Here is a 15222-nt window from a genome sequence, read left to right as displayed (position 1 = left end):
CACCCATGAGAAAGATAGAGGTACCCTCATGGAGATTTTGTTACAGTGAGGGAAAAAGGTAAATAAGGATTAAAATGTTGGCAAATTGTGATGTCATTAAATACAGAATAAAAGGAAGCCTCCAAAGAAGGTGGTCAGGAAAGCTTTGCTGCAGAGGGCACATACAGCCTGAGTCCTCAAGGACAGCCAGTCAGCTACAGGATGCACTGGGGAGCAGCAGAGTGGAGCTGGTACTTAGGGGAGGGGTGGTCCAAGCCCAAGTTCCTAATTATTGTGCAACAACATTTACTGTTTGACCTTCTCCAGAACAATCTGAAGCATTCATTTCTCTCAGCTTATTCTAACCAACTCACTCACCTTCTACCACCATTTTAAATGTTGCTATATCTTCTCCCCACATTTAATTATTTTTAGTCTAAGGAAAAGAGGTGTCACTTACCCTTTTTCCAATTTGTTTCTCTAAGGGATGCACATAGCCATGTGGCTTTCCTGGAGCCTTGTTACTCTGGCTGATTTTCATCTTCTATATCTCCATCCTCTCCTTCCTCTTGATTCCTTTCTTGCAGTGCACAACATGCACATGTTTCTCAGACCTTAACACAGCTCTCAAACAGGCAACTCCTTCCAGCTCCAATCCTTGAAAACTATAATCTGTATTTTATCTTCCCATTTTCATTTTTCATTCACTCCATGGACCCTGTGAACTGTTTTAACCTCTTTCATTCCACTGAACAGAAGAGGTAGTGGAATGGAGATAACATGTTTTGAAGTCAAACAAATGGATTAGAGACCCAAGTCCATCTTTACTTGTGTGACTTTCGGGAAGATACTTGACTTCCTAAAATTGAGTTTATAGATCTATAAAATAAAGACAGTGATATTAATACCAGTCTCACAGGTTATAGGAAATATTAAAAGAAAGAATCCATACAAAGAACAGCACAGCATAGAAACTCATCGAGAATTACACGAATGTTAGCCATTATTTAAACTGTACTAGCAAAATTCACTAAATGTTCAACTAATTGTTAAATCCAATGGAATGCTTTCAGACCTAGTCTCTACAGCTTCCTTTTGCTATCTGATGTTATTGAACATCTTAAACTTCCCTAAGCCTTGACCACCATAACACCACTTTATCCTGATTCTCATTCTACACCCTGACTATTCTTTCTTGGTATGCTGCATTGATACTTCTACCTCTACTTCCTCTTGTTTCCTTGGACTACTTCCATTATCATTCTAGACCTCCCTTCTGGTCATTCACAGGGCCTCAGTTGCCATCTATATGTGAATGACTCTCAAACCTCACTTTCACCAGCCAGTTTCTCTGTGAGCTCTAGATGTATACACGCATTCAACTGTCTGCAGGACTTCGCCTCCGTGTTCCATGGGTACTTCAGGGTCAATATTGAGAAAACCTTTTCTCTTCCTTGGGTTGCCTGTCTCATATTCTATTACCAAGATGCACCATGTTTCACAATTTAAAAAATTGGAAATATCTTAGGTTACTTGCCTAGCAGATAGAGGACAAGTACCCAGATCTCTTGCCTCCAAACCCAGGACTCTGACTCAGTGCACCATATTCAGCAGTGTACAACATGTGCTTTCAACTAATAATAGCTTAATATTATTATCCTGTGATGGTGAATTTATGTGTCAATTTGGCTAGCACATAGTACCCAGTTTTTGGTCAAATGTTAATCTAGATGTTTCTGTGAAGGTATTTTATTTTTAGATGTGATTAACATTTAAATCAGTAGACTTTGAGTAGATTACTCTCCACAGTGTAGGTGGGCCTCATCCAATAAGTTGAAGGGCTTAAGAGAAAGAGATGAGGTTCCCCAAGAAAGAAGGAATTCGCCTCTAGACTGTCTGCAGGCTGAAGCTGCAATAGCAACTCTTCCCCAGGTGTCCAGCCTGCTGGTCGGCCCTGTAGATTTCAGACTTGCCATCCCCACAATCACATAAGCCAATTCCTCAAATCAATCAATCAACTAATCAATGAAACTTTTTCTCTCTCTTCCTGTCTCCTATTGTTCTGTGTCTCTTCGGAATCATATTGGGTCTGTTTCTCTAGGGAAACATAGTCAATTGGTTTTGTTTCTCTGGGGAACCCTAATACATATCCTATACGTGTGTATTCTATCATTAGAAACATATCATTAGCACTCCACGCACATAACTTTCCTTTTGCATATCTGTATTATTTAATTTTGCATAAATAAACATCTCGTACACAATTGGTTGTCTACTTAGAGAAATAGTGTCTGGAAATACGCTAAATCTTGTGTACAGTAGGTTCTTAGTCTTTAGAAGAAAAGGTATCTTTCAGCTTTTCTCTCCCACTCACTTCTCTTCATCAGCCTCCTAATGCACTAACCCTGCCAGCCTCCTACCCAACCCATCAACTAATGTCAGCTACATCACTCACCCTAGTGTTTGACAAAGATTTGCAAGCCGCGTATTTTAGGCTCCTTGGATAGAAAAACAAACTCAATTGCTATCTTGAGATCCAGGTGGCAGAAAAAAATTCAAAGGTAATAAATCACAATTTTGTATCTTTTTTCCCTCTCATACTTCTACTTGATTATTATGTCCTAAATTGATTAATTTACCATGTATCATTGCTCTCAAGTGATAACTTAAGGACTGCAAGAGCTTAGCACGTCACCAGCAATTTGGCTTCTTAGAAACAAGGGACAAAAACCTGACTTGAGAAGAAATCTCTAAGGGATTAATTAACTCAGCAAAGGCATTTATAGCACTGGGTAAAGACTGGATGGTGAAATGAAGGTTGAGTTCATTCCCTATGTGCCACTGGCCAAAATATCTAGTTAATCTAGGATATTAGATAAATACTTCAGTATATAAAAAAGAAGGCAAAGATGTTGTATTTGTTGTTGTTGTTTTACCCTGAAAAAAAAAATGATATCTCTCCTTTCTTTCTCTACCTGGAAAAGGTAATAGTTAAGAAGTGCCTGGCAAAGACCACAGTAGGATTCATGTTAAGCTTGGGGCTTTAAGATGATGTTCAAGGATTCTACTCACACTTGCTGAACTGCCAGAAATTTTAATGAATACAAATGTTTTGGAATTCTAGTTTCTGGTTTAAATGGATTACAGTATTTACCTAAGTTAGCCAGGCGTCTGTCTCGAACAAGGCTCTACAACTATTTACTCAAGTAATCGATCTCAGGAGCTTTAACTTCTCCACAGATTCCATCCCCTGCTCCTTTGAATGTCCAGGCTGCTGGAATTGATATACAGAGGGGAACAGGAGAAATTTTTCATACGAAAAGGTAAATAATATATTATCACTCATGTCTAGGGAGAGGAATATAAATTGGGTCCCCAAAAAGGCCAATTCTTTCCTGCTTCTCTATTGGTTTTTGTTTTTTTTTTTTTTAAGAGAATGCCTTTACTCATTATTTGATAAATGGTAAAATATTTTATTTTACCTCCTACCAATATCCCTCCTTTTTTTTATTTTGACAATCTATAAGATATCACAAATTTTTAAAGAGTAACATAAAATCTTTACACTTCTGAAATATTGAATGATTTAGTAAAATATATGTTTCCATAGTGCACACGCTGGCCATGGAGACTCATAATGTTAGATTAAAAAGTTCACTTATTTTTACAGGATAAATATCAATTAACTTTAAAAAAAATAATATGCACATATCTTTGTAAATAATGCATATCCTGAGAGGAAGAGGATGCATGAGGTTTCTTTAAAAATCGACTCTGGGTGTAGTATGTTCTATAGCCAGAGGAATGGATGAAATAATCTTTTAATCTACCTTTATCATGCTAGAATTTTAAAACAAAGGAAAATATATTCTGATGACAGAAATGACTTTTTTTTTAGTATAATGCTCACCAAAGGGAAGAAAGACATGTTCCAACGCTTTTTTTTTCTTTTGTCTGTTACTACTTTATATTTCCCTCTCCAACAAAATACTATCTCTGTGGATGACAGGTCTTCAATATCTTGCTCTTACCTATCTTTTCTTTCCATAAGTTATTGGGGTACAGGTTGTATTTGGTTACATGAATTCTTTAGTGGTGATTTGTGAGATTTTGGTGCACCCATCACCCGAGCAGTATACACTGCACCCTATTTGTAGTGCTTTATCCCTCACCCCCCTTCACTCTTCCCCCCAAGTCCCCAAAGTCCATTGTATAATTTTTAAGACTGCATCCTTGTAGCTTAACTCCCACATATCAGTGAGAACATACGACGTTTGGTTTTCCATTCTTGAGTTACTTCACTTAGAATAATAGTCTCCAAGCACATCCAGGTCACTGCAAATGGTGTTAACTCATTCCTTTTTATGGCTGTGTGGTATTCCATCATGTATATATACCAGTTTCTTTATCCACTCATTGACTGATGGGCATTTGGGTTGGTTCCATGATTTCGCAATTGTGAATTGTGCTGCTACAAACATGTATGTGCAAGTATCTTTTTCTAAGAATGACTTCTTTTCCTCTGGGTAGATACCCAGTAGTGGGATCAAATGGTAGTTCTTCTTTTAGTTATTTAAGGAATCTCTATGCTGTTTTCCATAGTGGCTGTACTAGTATACATTCCCACCAGCAGTGTAGAAGTGTTCCCTGTTCATTGCATCCACGCCAACATCTACTGTTTTTTGATTTTTTTTATTATGGCCATTCTTGCATGAGTGAGGTGGTATCCCATTGTGGCTTTGACTTGCATTTCCCTGATCATTAGTGATGGTGAGCCATTTTTCATGTTTGTTGGCCATTTGTATATCTTCTTTTGAGAATTGTCTATTCATGTCCTTAGCCCACTTTTGGAAGGGATTGTTTTTTTCTTACTGTTTGAGTTCATTGCAGATTCTGAATATTAGTCCTTTGTCAGATGTATAGATTGTGAAGATTTTCTCCCCCCTTTGTGGGTTGTCTGTTTACCCTGCTAACTGTTCCTTTTGCTGTGCAAAAGCTCTTTAGTTTACTTAGGTCCCAGCTACTTATCTTTGTTTTTATTGCATTTGCTTTTGGGTTCTTGGTCATGAAAGCCTTGCCTAAGCCAATGTCTAGAAGGGTATTTCCAATGTTGTCTTCTAGAATTTTTATATTCAGGTCTTAGATTTAAGTCCTTAATCCATCCTGAGCTGATTTTTCTATAAGGTGAGAGATGAGGATCCAGTTTCATTCTCCTACATGTGGCTCGCCAATTATCCTAGCACTATTTGTTGAAAAGAGTGTCCTTTCCCCACTTTATGTTTTTGTTTGCTTTGTCAAAGATCAGTTGACTGTAAGTATTTGGGTTTATTTCTGTGTTCTCTATTCATTCCATTGGTCTATGCACCTCTTTTTGTACCAGTACAATGCTGTTTTGCTGACTATGGGCTTATAGTGTAGTTTGAAATCGGGTAGTGCGATGCCTCCAGATTTATTCTTTTTGCTTAATCTTGCTTTGGCTATGCGGGTTCTCTTTTGATGTTATATGAATTTTAGAATTGTTTTTTCTAATTCTGTGAAAAATGATGGTGATATTTTGATGGGGATTGCAGTGAATTTGTAGATTGCTTTTTGCTGCATGGTCATTTTCACAATATTGATTCTACCCATCCATGAGCATGGGATGTGTTTCCATTTGTTCATGTCATCTATGATTTCTTTCAGCAGTGTTTTGTAGTTTCCCTTGTAGAGGTCTTTTGACTCCTCGGTTTATTGCTAAGTATTTTATTTTATTTTTTGCAGCTATTGTAAAAGGGGTTGGGTTCTTGATTTGATTCTCTGCTTGTTTGCTGCTGGTGTATAGAAGAGCTACTGATTTGTGCACATTAATCTTTTATCTGGAAACCTTGCTGAACACTTTTATCAGTTCTAGGATATTTCTGGAGGAATCCTTATGGTTTTCAAAGCAAATGATCATATTGTGAGCAAACAGTGACAGTTTGACTTCCTTTTTGCTGATTTGGACGCCCTTTATTTCTTTCTCTTCTCTGATTGCTCTGGCTAGGACTCCCCAGTATTATGTTGAAGAGGAGTGGTGAGAGTGGGCATCCTTGTCTCATTCCAGTTCTCAGAGGAAATACTTTCAATTTTTCCCCATTCGGTATTATGTTGGCTGTAGGATTGTCATAGATGGCTTTTATTACATTAAGCTATGTCCCTTGTATGCCGATTTTCCTGAGAGTTTTAATCATAAAGGGATTCTGAATTTTGTTTCATGCTTTTTCTGCATCTATTGAAATGATCATGTGATTTTTTAAAAATTCTGTTTATGTGATGTAACACATTTACTGACTTGCATATATTAAATAATCCCTGCATCCCTGGTATGAAATCCACTTGATCATGGTGGATAATCTTTTTGATATGTTGTCAAATTCTGTTAGCTAGTATTTTGTTAAGGATTTTAGCATCTATGTTCATCAAGAATATCGGTATGTGGTTTTCTTTTTTGGTTATGTCCTTCCCTGGTTTTGGTATTCGGGTGATGCTGGCTTCATAGAATGAATTAGGAAGGGTCCCCTCTTTCTCTATCTTGTGGAATAGTGTCAAAAGTATTGGTACCAATTCTTCTTTGAATGTCTGGTAGAATTCTTCTATGAATTCATCTGATCCTGGCCTTTTTTTCCTGGTTATTTTTTAATTACCATTTCATTCTTGATGCTTGTTATTGGTCTGTTCAGGGTATCTAATTCTTCCTGATTTAAGCTAGGAGGGTTGTATTTTTCCAGGAATTTGTCCATCTCTTCTAGATTTTCTAGTTTATGTGTGTAAAGGTGATCATAGTAGCCTGGAATGATCTTTGTATTTCAGTGATGTCAGTTGCAATATCTCCTGTTTCGTTTCTTAGTGAGGTTATTTGGATTTTCTCTCTTCTTTTCTTGGTTAATCTTGCCAAAGGTCTATCAATTTTATTTAACTTTTTGAAGAACCAGCTTTTTGTTTCATTTATTTTTTGTAATTTTTTTTGTTTCAATCTTATTTAGTTCTGCTCTGATCTTGGTTATTTCCTTTCTTCTGCTGGGTTTGGGTTTGGTTTGCTCTTGTTTCTCTAGTTTCTTGAGGTGTGATCTTAGAGTGTCAGTTTGTGCACTTTCAGTCTTTTTTGATGTGGGGGTTTAGGGCTATGAATGTTCCTCTTAGTACCACCTTTGCTGTATCCCAGAGGTTTTGAAAAGTTGTGTCATTATTGTCATTCAGTTTGAATAATTTTTAAATTTTCATCTTGATTTTGTTTTTGACCCAATGCTCATTCAGGAGCAGGTTATTTAATTTCCATGTATTTACAGAGTTTTGAAGGTTCCTTTTGGAGTTGAGTTTCAGTTTTATTCTACTGTGGTCTGATAGAGTACTCGATATAATTTCAATTTTCTTAAATTTATTGAGGTTCGTTTCATGGTCTATCATATGGTCTATTTTGGAGAAAGTTCCATGTGCTCTTGGATAGAATGTGTATTCTGTGGTTGTTGGATGAAATGTTCTATATATATAAATATAAATCCATTTGTTACAAGGTATAGTTTAAATCCATTGTTTCTTTGTTGACTTCCTATCTTGATGACCTAATGCTGTCAGTGGAGTATTGAAGTCCCCCATTATTATCATGTTGCTGTCTATCTCATTTCTTAAGTCTATTAGTAATTGTTTTACAAATTTGGGAGCTCCAGTGATAGGTGCATATATATTTAGGATTGTGATATTTTCCTGTTGGACAAAGCCTTTTACCATTACATAATGTCCTTCTTTGTCTCTTTTAACTGCTGTTGCTTTAAAGTTTGTTTTGTCTGATGTAAGAATAGCTACCTCTGCTCACTTTTGGTGTCCATTTGCATGAAATGCCTTTTTCCACCCCTTTACTTTAAGTTTATGTGAGTGCTTATGTGCTAGGTGAGTCTTCTAAAGGCAGCAGATAGATGGTTGGTGAGTTCTTATCCATTCTGCAGTCCTGTATCTTTTAAGTGGAGCATTTAGACCATTTACATTGAATGTTAGTATTGAGATGTGAGGTGCCTTTGCATTCATTGTGCTATTTATTGACTGTGTATTTTGGGTTTTGTTTTTTTGTTTTCGCTTTTTACATTGTATTTTTGTTTTATAGGTCCTGTGTGATTTGTGCTTTAAAGAGGTTCTATTTTGATGTGTTTCCAGGATTTGTTTCAAGATTTAGAGCTCCTTTTAGCAGTCCTTGTAGTGGTGGCTTGGTAATGGTGAATTCTTTCAGCATTTGTTTGTCTGAAAAAGACTGTATTTTTCCTTCATATGTGATGCTTAGTTTCACTGGATACAAAAGTCTTGGCTGATGATTGTTTTATTTGAGAAGGCTGAAGATAGGGCCCCAGTCTCTTCTAGCTTGTAGGGTTTCTGCCGAGAAATCTGCTGTTAACCTGTTAGGTTTTCCTTTATAGGTTACCTGGTGCTTTTGTCTCACAGCTCTTAAGATTCTTTCCATTGACTTAATTTTGGATAACCTGATGACAATATGCCTAGGCAATTATCTTTTTTGCAATGAATTTCCCAGGTGTTCTTTGTGCTTCTTGTATTTGGATGTCTAGGTCTCTAGTGAGGCTGCAGAAATTCTCCTCAATTATTCTCCCAAATTTGTTTTCTAATGTTTTAGAATTCTCTTCTTACTCAGGAACACCAATTATTCTTAGGTTTGGTCATTTAACATAATCCCAGAAATCTTGGAGGCTTTGTTCATATTTTATTCTTTTTTGTCTTTGTTAGATTGGGTTAATTTGAAGACCTTGTCTTCGAGCTCTGAATTTCTTTCATCTACTTGTTCAATTCTAGTGCTGAGACTTTCCAGAGCATTTTGCATTTCTAAAACTGTGTCCAAAGTTTCCTGAATTTTTATTGTTTTTTCTTTAAGCCATCCATTTTCTTGAATATTTCTTCCTTCACTTCTTGTATCACTTTTTGGATTTCCTTGCATGGGGCTTTGCCTTTCTCTGGCCCTTCCCTGATTAGCTTAATAACTAACCTCCTGAATTCTTTTTCATGTAAATCAGGAATTTCTTCTTGGTTTGGATCCATTGCTGGTGAATTAGTGTGACTTTTTGGGAGTATTGATGAGCCTTGTTTTTTCATATTACCAGGGCTGGTTTTCTGTTTCCTTCTCATTTGGGTAGGCTCTGTCAGAGGGAAGGTCTAGGGCTGAAGGCTGTTGTTCAGATTCTTTTGTCCCATGGGGTATTCCCTTGATGTAGTACTCTCCCCCTTTCCCTGTGGATGTGGCCTCCTGTGGCCAAACTGCAGTGATTGTTATCTCACTTCTAGGTCTAGCCACCCAGCGAGTCTACCCAGCTTTGGGCTGATACTGAGGGTTGTCTGCACAGAGTCCTGTGATGTGAACTGTCTATGGGTCTCAGCCATGGATACCAGTGCCTGTTCCAGTGGAGGTGGTGGGGTGGGTACAATGGACTCTGTGAAGGTTCCTAGCTTTGGTGGTTTAATGCTCTGTTTTTGTGCCGGTTGGCCTCCTGCCAGGAGGTGGCACTTTCCAGAGAGCATGAGCTGTGGTACTATGGGGAGGAATAAGTGGTGGGTGGGGCCTAGGACTCCCAAGATTATATGCCATTTGTCTTCCACTACCAGGATGAGTAGGGAAGGACCCTCAGGTGGGGGAGGGGCTAGGTGTGTCTGAGCTCAGACTCTACTTGGGTGGGACTTGCTGCGGCTGCTGTTGGGGTTGGGGGTGATAGTCTCAGGTCACTGGAGTTGTGTACCTAGGAGGATTATGGCTTCCTCTGCTGAGTCATGCTGGTTGTCAGGGAAGTAGGGGAAAGCCAGAAGTCACAGGTCTCACCCAGCTCCCACGGAAACCGAAGGGCCGGTCTCGCTCCCACCATGACCCCTACAAAAGCCCCCAGCCCATTTCCAGGTGGAGAATGATAGGGGCTTGAAAATCTGCCCCAGGATACCCACCTCACCTCCCAGCTGCAAAAGAAAAGGGCTTAGTTCTTCCCCCAGCTGTGCAGTCTGCACGCAGGCTTGGCAGCCTTCCCCAAGCTCTGGCCAGCAGGCTTCTCACCCTGTTCAAACTGTTACAAAGTTCAGCTAGAGATTTCCTTCTCCCTTTGGAGTTTTACTCCCTGCTCCTCTCCTGATAGATCCCTGTGGTGCCAGGCTGGAATGGTCTGCTTGGGGACCTAGCCAGCTCCCACGGCCTTTCTGCTGCTTCCTCTACCCCCGTATTTTGCTCAGCTCTCGAAATTGACTCAGCAGGTAAAGTCGGAAACTTCTCCTGCTAAGAGACCTTCAGGTTCTCCACAGTGGGGGGGTGCGTTTGGGAGAGGAGGGTCTCCTTTTCCTACTTCTGCAGTTGGGGTACTCACAATATTTGGGGTGTCTCCCAGGTCCTGCAGGAGCAGTCCACTTCCTTTAGAGGGTCTGTGGGTCCTCTCGGGATTGCTGGTTTGTTCTTGCAGTCGAGCTGGAGCTGCAATTCACAATATGAGTCCCTGCCAGCTGCTCTGTCCGGAGCTGCAATCTAGTCTTGGTAATAACCACTTTTGATGATGGCTGCAGTGGTGAGACCCTAGAAATGAGACATGTTCCAACGTTGTTGCAATAAAATTAACATGTTTTGCTCTAACTTTAAAATCCTCATCTTTTATTAAAATTATGATTCAATTATTCATTAATTATAATATGCTTAACATTTCAATAATTAACTAGCGTTAACAGTAAGAGAAAATTTTTAATTTATTTTCACCCTTTAAAATATTTCATTGTTCTTGCCATTTTCATCTACTTCCTAATGTCCCAGGGACTACAAAACATCAGAAATTATTTGAGTTTCAAGGTAAAGATTCCCTCTTCTTTCTTTTAGCTAGTCCCTGAAGAACAATAAGAATTGTGTTTCTATTCATTCTCTCTGTCTCTGTCTCTCTTTGTTTTTCTCTCACTCTTTCTTTCTCCATCTCTCTTTCTCTCCAAAGAGTATTTAGGGCTTGGGAAGATTCAACACATTAAATATATTAAATAATATGAAAATACCCAACACTAGTTAAAAAAAAAAAACGCATGTACATTTCCCTAACAGCTTTGATATGCATAAATAGCAAATTCATACATACAGAGACATACTGAAACAGTTTATGTCATCAAGTAATGCTACCTCAACAACTGGAAAAAGTTCTCTGAGCTGCTAAAAAGCTACTTTTAATAATATAAGAAGTCTCTTCTGTATTTCTGTAGCTCTCCCGGCCTTCAAGTGGAGCTCGCCATGGTAAATATGATTCCAAAGCTCAATCATTAATTCTATTTAGGCTTAATGTGTCATAAAGCTAAGGAAAGCAGGGCCATTTTTCTCTCTGCTGAGGCACAAGAAGTGTATTAACTATTCCAGCCAGTACTATAGATGATTTATTAATACAATTTTGGAAAGTGAGACTGTCAGATCATATAAGCACATATTATAAACAGATGATCTCTCTGAAAAGTTATCTTAGTCTTTCTCCTATTCCTTGTCTTAGCTAAATGACTGACAATGTACTTCACTGCTAAGATTCTTCTCTCTGTCTCTCTCTCTCTCTCTCTTTCCCTCTCCTTCTCCCTCTCTCTCTCTCTCTCCCTCTCTTTCCCTCTCCTTCTCCCTCTCTCTCTCTCTCTCCCTCCCACCCCTAAAAACACATTACTCAAATAAGCCAGGGATGGTCAACAACATTCTCTCACATTTGAGGCACTGGAACTGACTCTGAATATAAATTTGAAGCACCTGGAATAAAAGGGAGATGCTTTTCCAAACACAGACCTAAAAATTACTGAGCCAACTGTGATATGGGGAAAAGAACATTGGTGTGGGAACCCAGTGAGCCAGATTCTAGATCAGGGTGCTCTGCAAAGCACAAATGACCTTAGGCAATTCACTTCACCTGTGTCCTTATCTTTAAAGAGTGGTTGGGGGGAGGGCTAAGTGATCTCTAGGTTCTTTCCAACTCTAACCTTCTGTAAACTTATGTTGTAACAGGAATGAAACAGGATGAAATAACGCTAGCCTAGGCTCAACTCAACAGCATAGTCTTCTCGATGTAAATTACATGGTACCTGAGAACATCGCGATAGTCAGTTTCTTCTGAATGATACATCATGAGGCAAATTTATATTTGTATTACCTAACCTTAAAATCCAGATACTGGGGCAATATCGGAAGGAGTGTGTGTGTGTGTGTGCGCGTGTGCACGTGTGTGTATGTGTGTAACCTCCCAGCAAAAATGTTTGCCCAGGGCTCTGTAGTGTTCTGAAATCATTTTTAGTGTTGCTAGTGTTTTAGAATTCTGAATCCATTTGTATTACCCTTTAAGACCTCCAATCCTTTCTTCAATTCCTTTTTACATACAGAGGATCTGGGTGTTACTCCCACTGGAATTCTGGGAATTAAAATATACAGACAATTTTAATCACGTGATGGTGATTCATTTCCTAAGATATTTCACATGTAATAAATATGAGTGAAATCAAAGGATAATTTTCAAGATCAGAGAGCTGTTTGTAATTGTGCATCATGCCAAAAGTACACTCACCTGTTTCCTCACCAAATTATGCTCAATGAGAAATGTTTATTCTTTGTTCCTGACTAGAACTTTTTGTAGGGAATATGCCCATTTATATCTCAGGCAAAAATCTCAGGTGTAAAGCAGTTAAAGTGAAAGTCAGGCAAGGAGTGGTGAAAAGGAAATGGCAGAACCAAACTTGATTTTATAAAAGTAGAAAAAGAGCACAAATTGTTTAACGTATTTTTAAAAGTTATTTATTTTTAGCAAAAGCTGTAATGCTGCTTTATGTGCAAGAGATATTTCAGTTATCAAATTATGTTCTGTGATACCACCTGGGGCACTCTTTATAGGTATCCTCAGAACTAGGTACATGTTATATTATGTCCCAAATGTTCAAAATCAAACAAGATAGTCATTTTCAATATGTCTAGGACCTACTTCAATTATAACACAAGAACTACATTCAAATTTAGTTTTCCAAATTCAAATGCAAGTTTATGACTTTATTTTGTTCTTTTAAAAAAAAGGCTATATTTGTTTATTTTTGATGTTTGCACATCCATGCTTATTGCAGCATTATTCACAATAACCAAGAGATGGAAGCAATACAAATGTCTATCAACAGATGAACAGACCAAGAAAATGTGATACACTCACACGACGGGACACCATTCTGTCTTAAAAAGGTAGGAGATCCTGTCCTACGCTGCAACATGGATGAACCTTGAGGACGCTAGACCAAGTGAATTAAGCCAATCGCAAAAAGACAAATACTGGGCTGGGCACAGTGGCTCACGCCATGTAATCCCAGTACTTTGGGAGGCTGAGGCAGGCAGATCACCTGAGGTCGTGTGTTTGAGACCAGCCTGGCCAACATGGTGAAACCCCATCTCTACTAAAAATACAAAAATGAGCCAGGCATGGTGGCACACACCTGTAATACCAGCTACTCAGGAGGCTGAGGCAGGAGAATTTCTTAAACCCGGGAGGCGGAGGTTGCAGTGAACTGAGATCGTGCCACTGCACTCCAGCCTGGCCTGGGCGATAGAGACTCTGTCTAGAAACACAAAAACAAAACAAAACAAAACAACAACAACAACAAAAACAAGTAAAAAGGCAAATACTGTATGATTACACCTATACCAGGTATCTAAAATAGTCAGACTCAGTAACAGTAACAGTAATAGAATGTGGTCACCAGGGGATGGGGGAAATGGGGACAATCAGTAGTTGTTGTTCAATGTCTATAGAGTTTCAGTTTTGCAAGGGGAAAAATTTCTGGAGATCTGTTGTGCAACAACGCACATATAGTTTAACACTCCTGTACTGTACACTTAAAATGATTAAGATGGTAATTTTATGACTTTTTAACACAATTTTTAAAATGTCATAGGAGGGAAACATTAGCACAGTAATATTAGCACAGTAATTATGAGCACAGGTTTCAGATTCTGACAAACATGGCTTAAGTCTGAATTCAGTCTCATACTAGCCATGAGGGCCGAGAAAGTTACCTAACCTCTCAGCTAGGTTTCCCATTTGGCAAAATGGAGATAAGAACTGTTTCTATCTCATGTAATTATTATAACATGTTATGTAAGTGTGAAACACGAAGCTCATGGCTAGGCACTTGGTTAGCACTCAATCAACAGTAGTTATAATGTGATGAGTAGGCCGGGAAGGTGAAGTATAGCTGAAGGATTGGGGATGAAGTCTGATAGCTTCCTGAAAGCTTAAGGGATTGTGGGCATGACGAGTATTTGAAAACTAGTTATATTTACATTATTGTTAAGCCTAGACCTTGGAGTGAACACCTTAACCTAATGTCAGGTAGAGAGCCAGCAGTGCTGCCCACATCCATCTATGTTTCACTATTCAAGGTTAAAGGCTATATTTAAATTACTTATTACATTCATGCCTGGTGTGGAATGAATTATAAACTTCCTGAAATTAAAATGTTAAAGTCCTAAACACCAGTACCTGTGAATATGACTTTATTTGGAAATAGAGCCTTTGCAGATGATATAGTTAAAAAGAGGTTAGAATGGCTGCCGGTCCAACATGACCGAGCTCTTATAATAGGAGAAATGTGGACAGAGAGACAGACAGACCCATAGGAAGAATGCCACATGAGGATGAAAGCAGAGATAGGCAATAGATCGATAGCCAAAGAATGATAAAGAGTGCCAGCAAACCATAAGAAGCTAGGGGAGAGGCACGGAACAGATTTTTCTCACCACCCTCAAAATGAACCTGTCAACGCATTCATCTTGGACTTCCAGCCCCTAGAACTGTGATCCAATAAATTATTGTTGTGTAAGTCACTCGTTATATTTGTGCTGTTGTGGTACTTTGTCATGGCAGCCCTAGGAAACAAAAACAATGCCTGCAGTTATTGTTTGCATGGTTTTTTTTGTTGTTGTTGTTTACTCAAACATGAGAATGTGTCAAATGCTCAAAACAAAGCACAGAGCTGAGGGAGACTGATTTCACTAATTGGCTGAGCTTCAGTTGAAATGGAGGGATGTTCACTCTGTTGTCTGCGACTTTTGCTGTTGTCCCTGTTGCTTTGGGTTCAGCCTATTAATTTGAGATGATAGCATTGTGTCCTTGGGCTTTAACAAAGAAATCTGAATAACTGCCAATTAGACAATAAATAGATACCCCTCCCTGCCCATTTGCTATTCCCTCTTTCTCCCCTTCTCCCATTCTCTCTCCCTTTTGCAGT

The 15222-nt window shown here is 38.7% G+C and overlaps 2 long non-coding RNA genes across 6 annotated transcripts in view; one reads left to right on the top strand and one right to left on the bottom strand.

Annotated features, from left to right (window-relative positions):
- Positions 1-15222, bottom strand: part of LOC105379364 (uncharacterized) — a 535736-nt gene that overhangs the window by 72773 nt on the left and 447741 nt on the right. For 4 of the 5 annotated variants that reach the window (NR_189605.1, NR_189607.1, NR_189608.1 and 1 more), the window contains 3 exons: positions 12295-12368; positions 10332-10534; positions 440-858 (listed from right to left, as the gene is read on the bottom strand). This is a non-coding gene — a long non-coding RNA (uncharacterized LOC105379364). Of the gene's footprint in view, positions 1-439; positions 859-3133; positions 3251-10331; positions 10535-12294; positions 12369-15222 lie in introns of all 5 variants that reach the window. The other variant, NR_189606.1, reaches the window with a different exon arrangement.
- The window catches only part of LOC105379366 (uncharacterized), a 38081-nt gene continuing 32968 nt past the window's right edge, over positions 10110-15222 (top strand). Inside the window, exons 1-2 of the long non-coding RNA XR_001745705.1 lie at positions 10110-10221; positions 13069-13180. This is a non-coding gene — a long non-coding RNA (uncharacterized LOC105379366). The remainder of the gene's footprint in view (positions 10222-13068; positions 13181-15222) is intronic.

The sequence above is a fragment of the Homo sapiens genome, chromosome 8 (assembly GCF_000001405.40).
Source record: "Homo sapiens chromosome 8, GRCh38.p14 Primary Assembly".
Classification (NCBI taxonomy): domain Eukaryota; kingdom Metazoa; phylum Chordata; class Mammalia; order Primates; family Hominidae; genus Homo; species Homo sapiens.
Note: the sequence above shows the minus strand (reverse complement) of the source record. Positions and strands in the feature narration are given on the sequence as shown.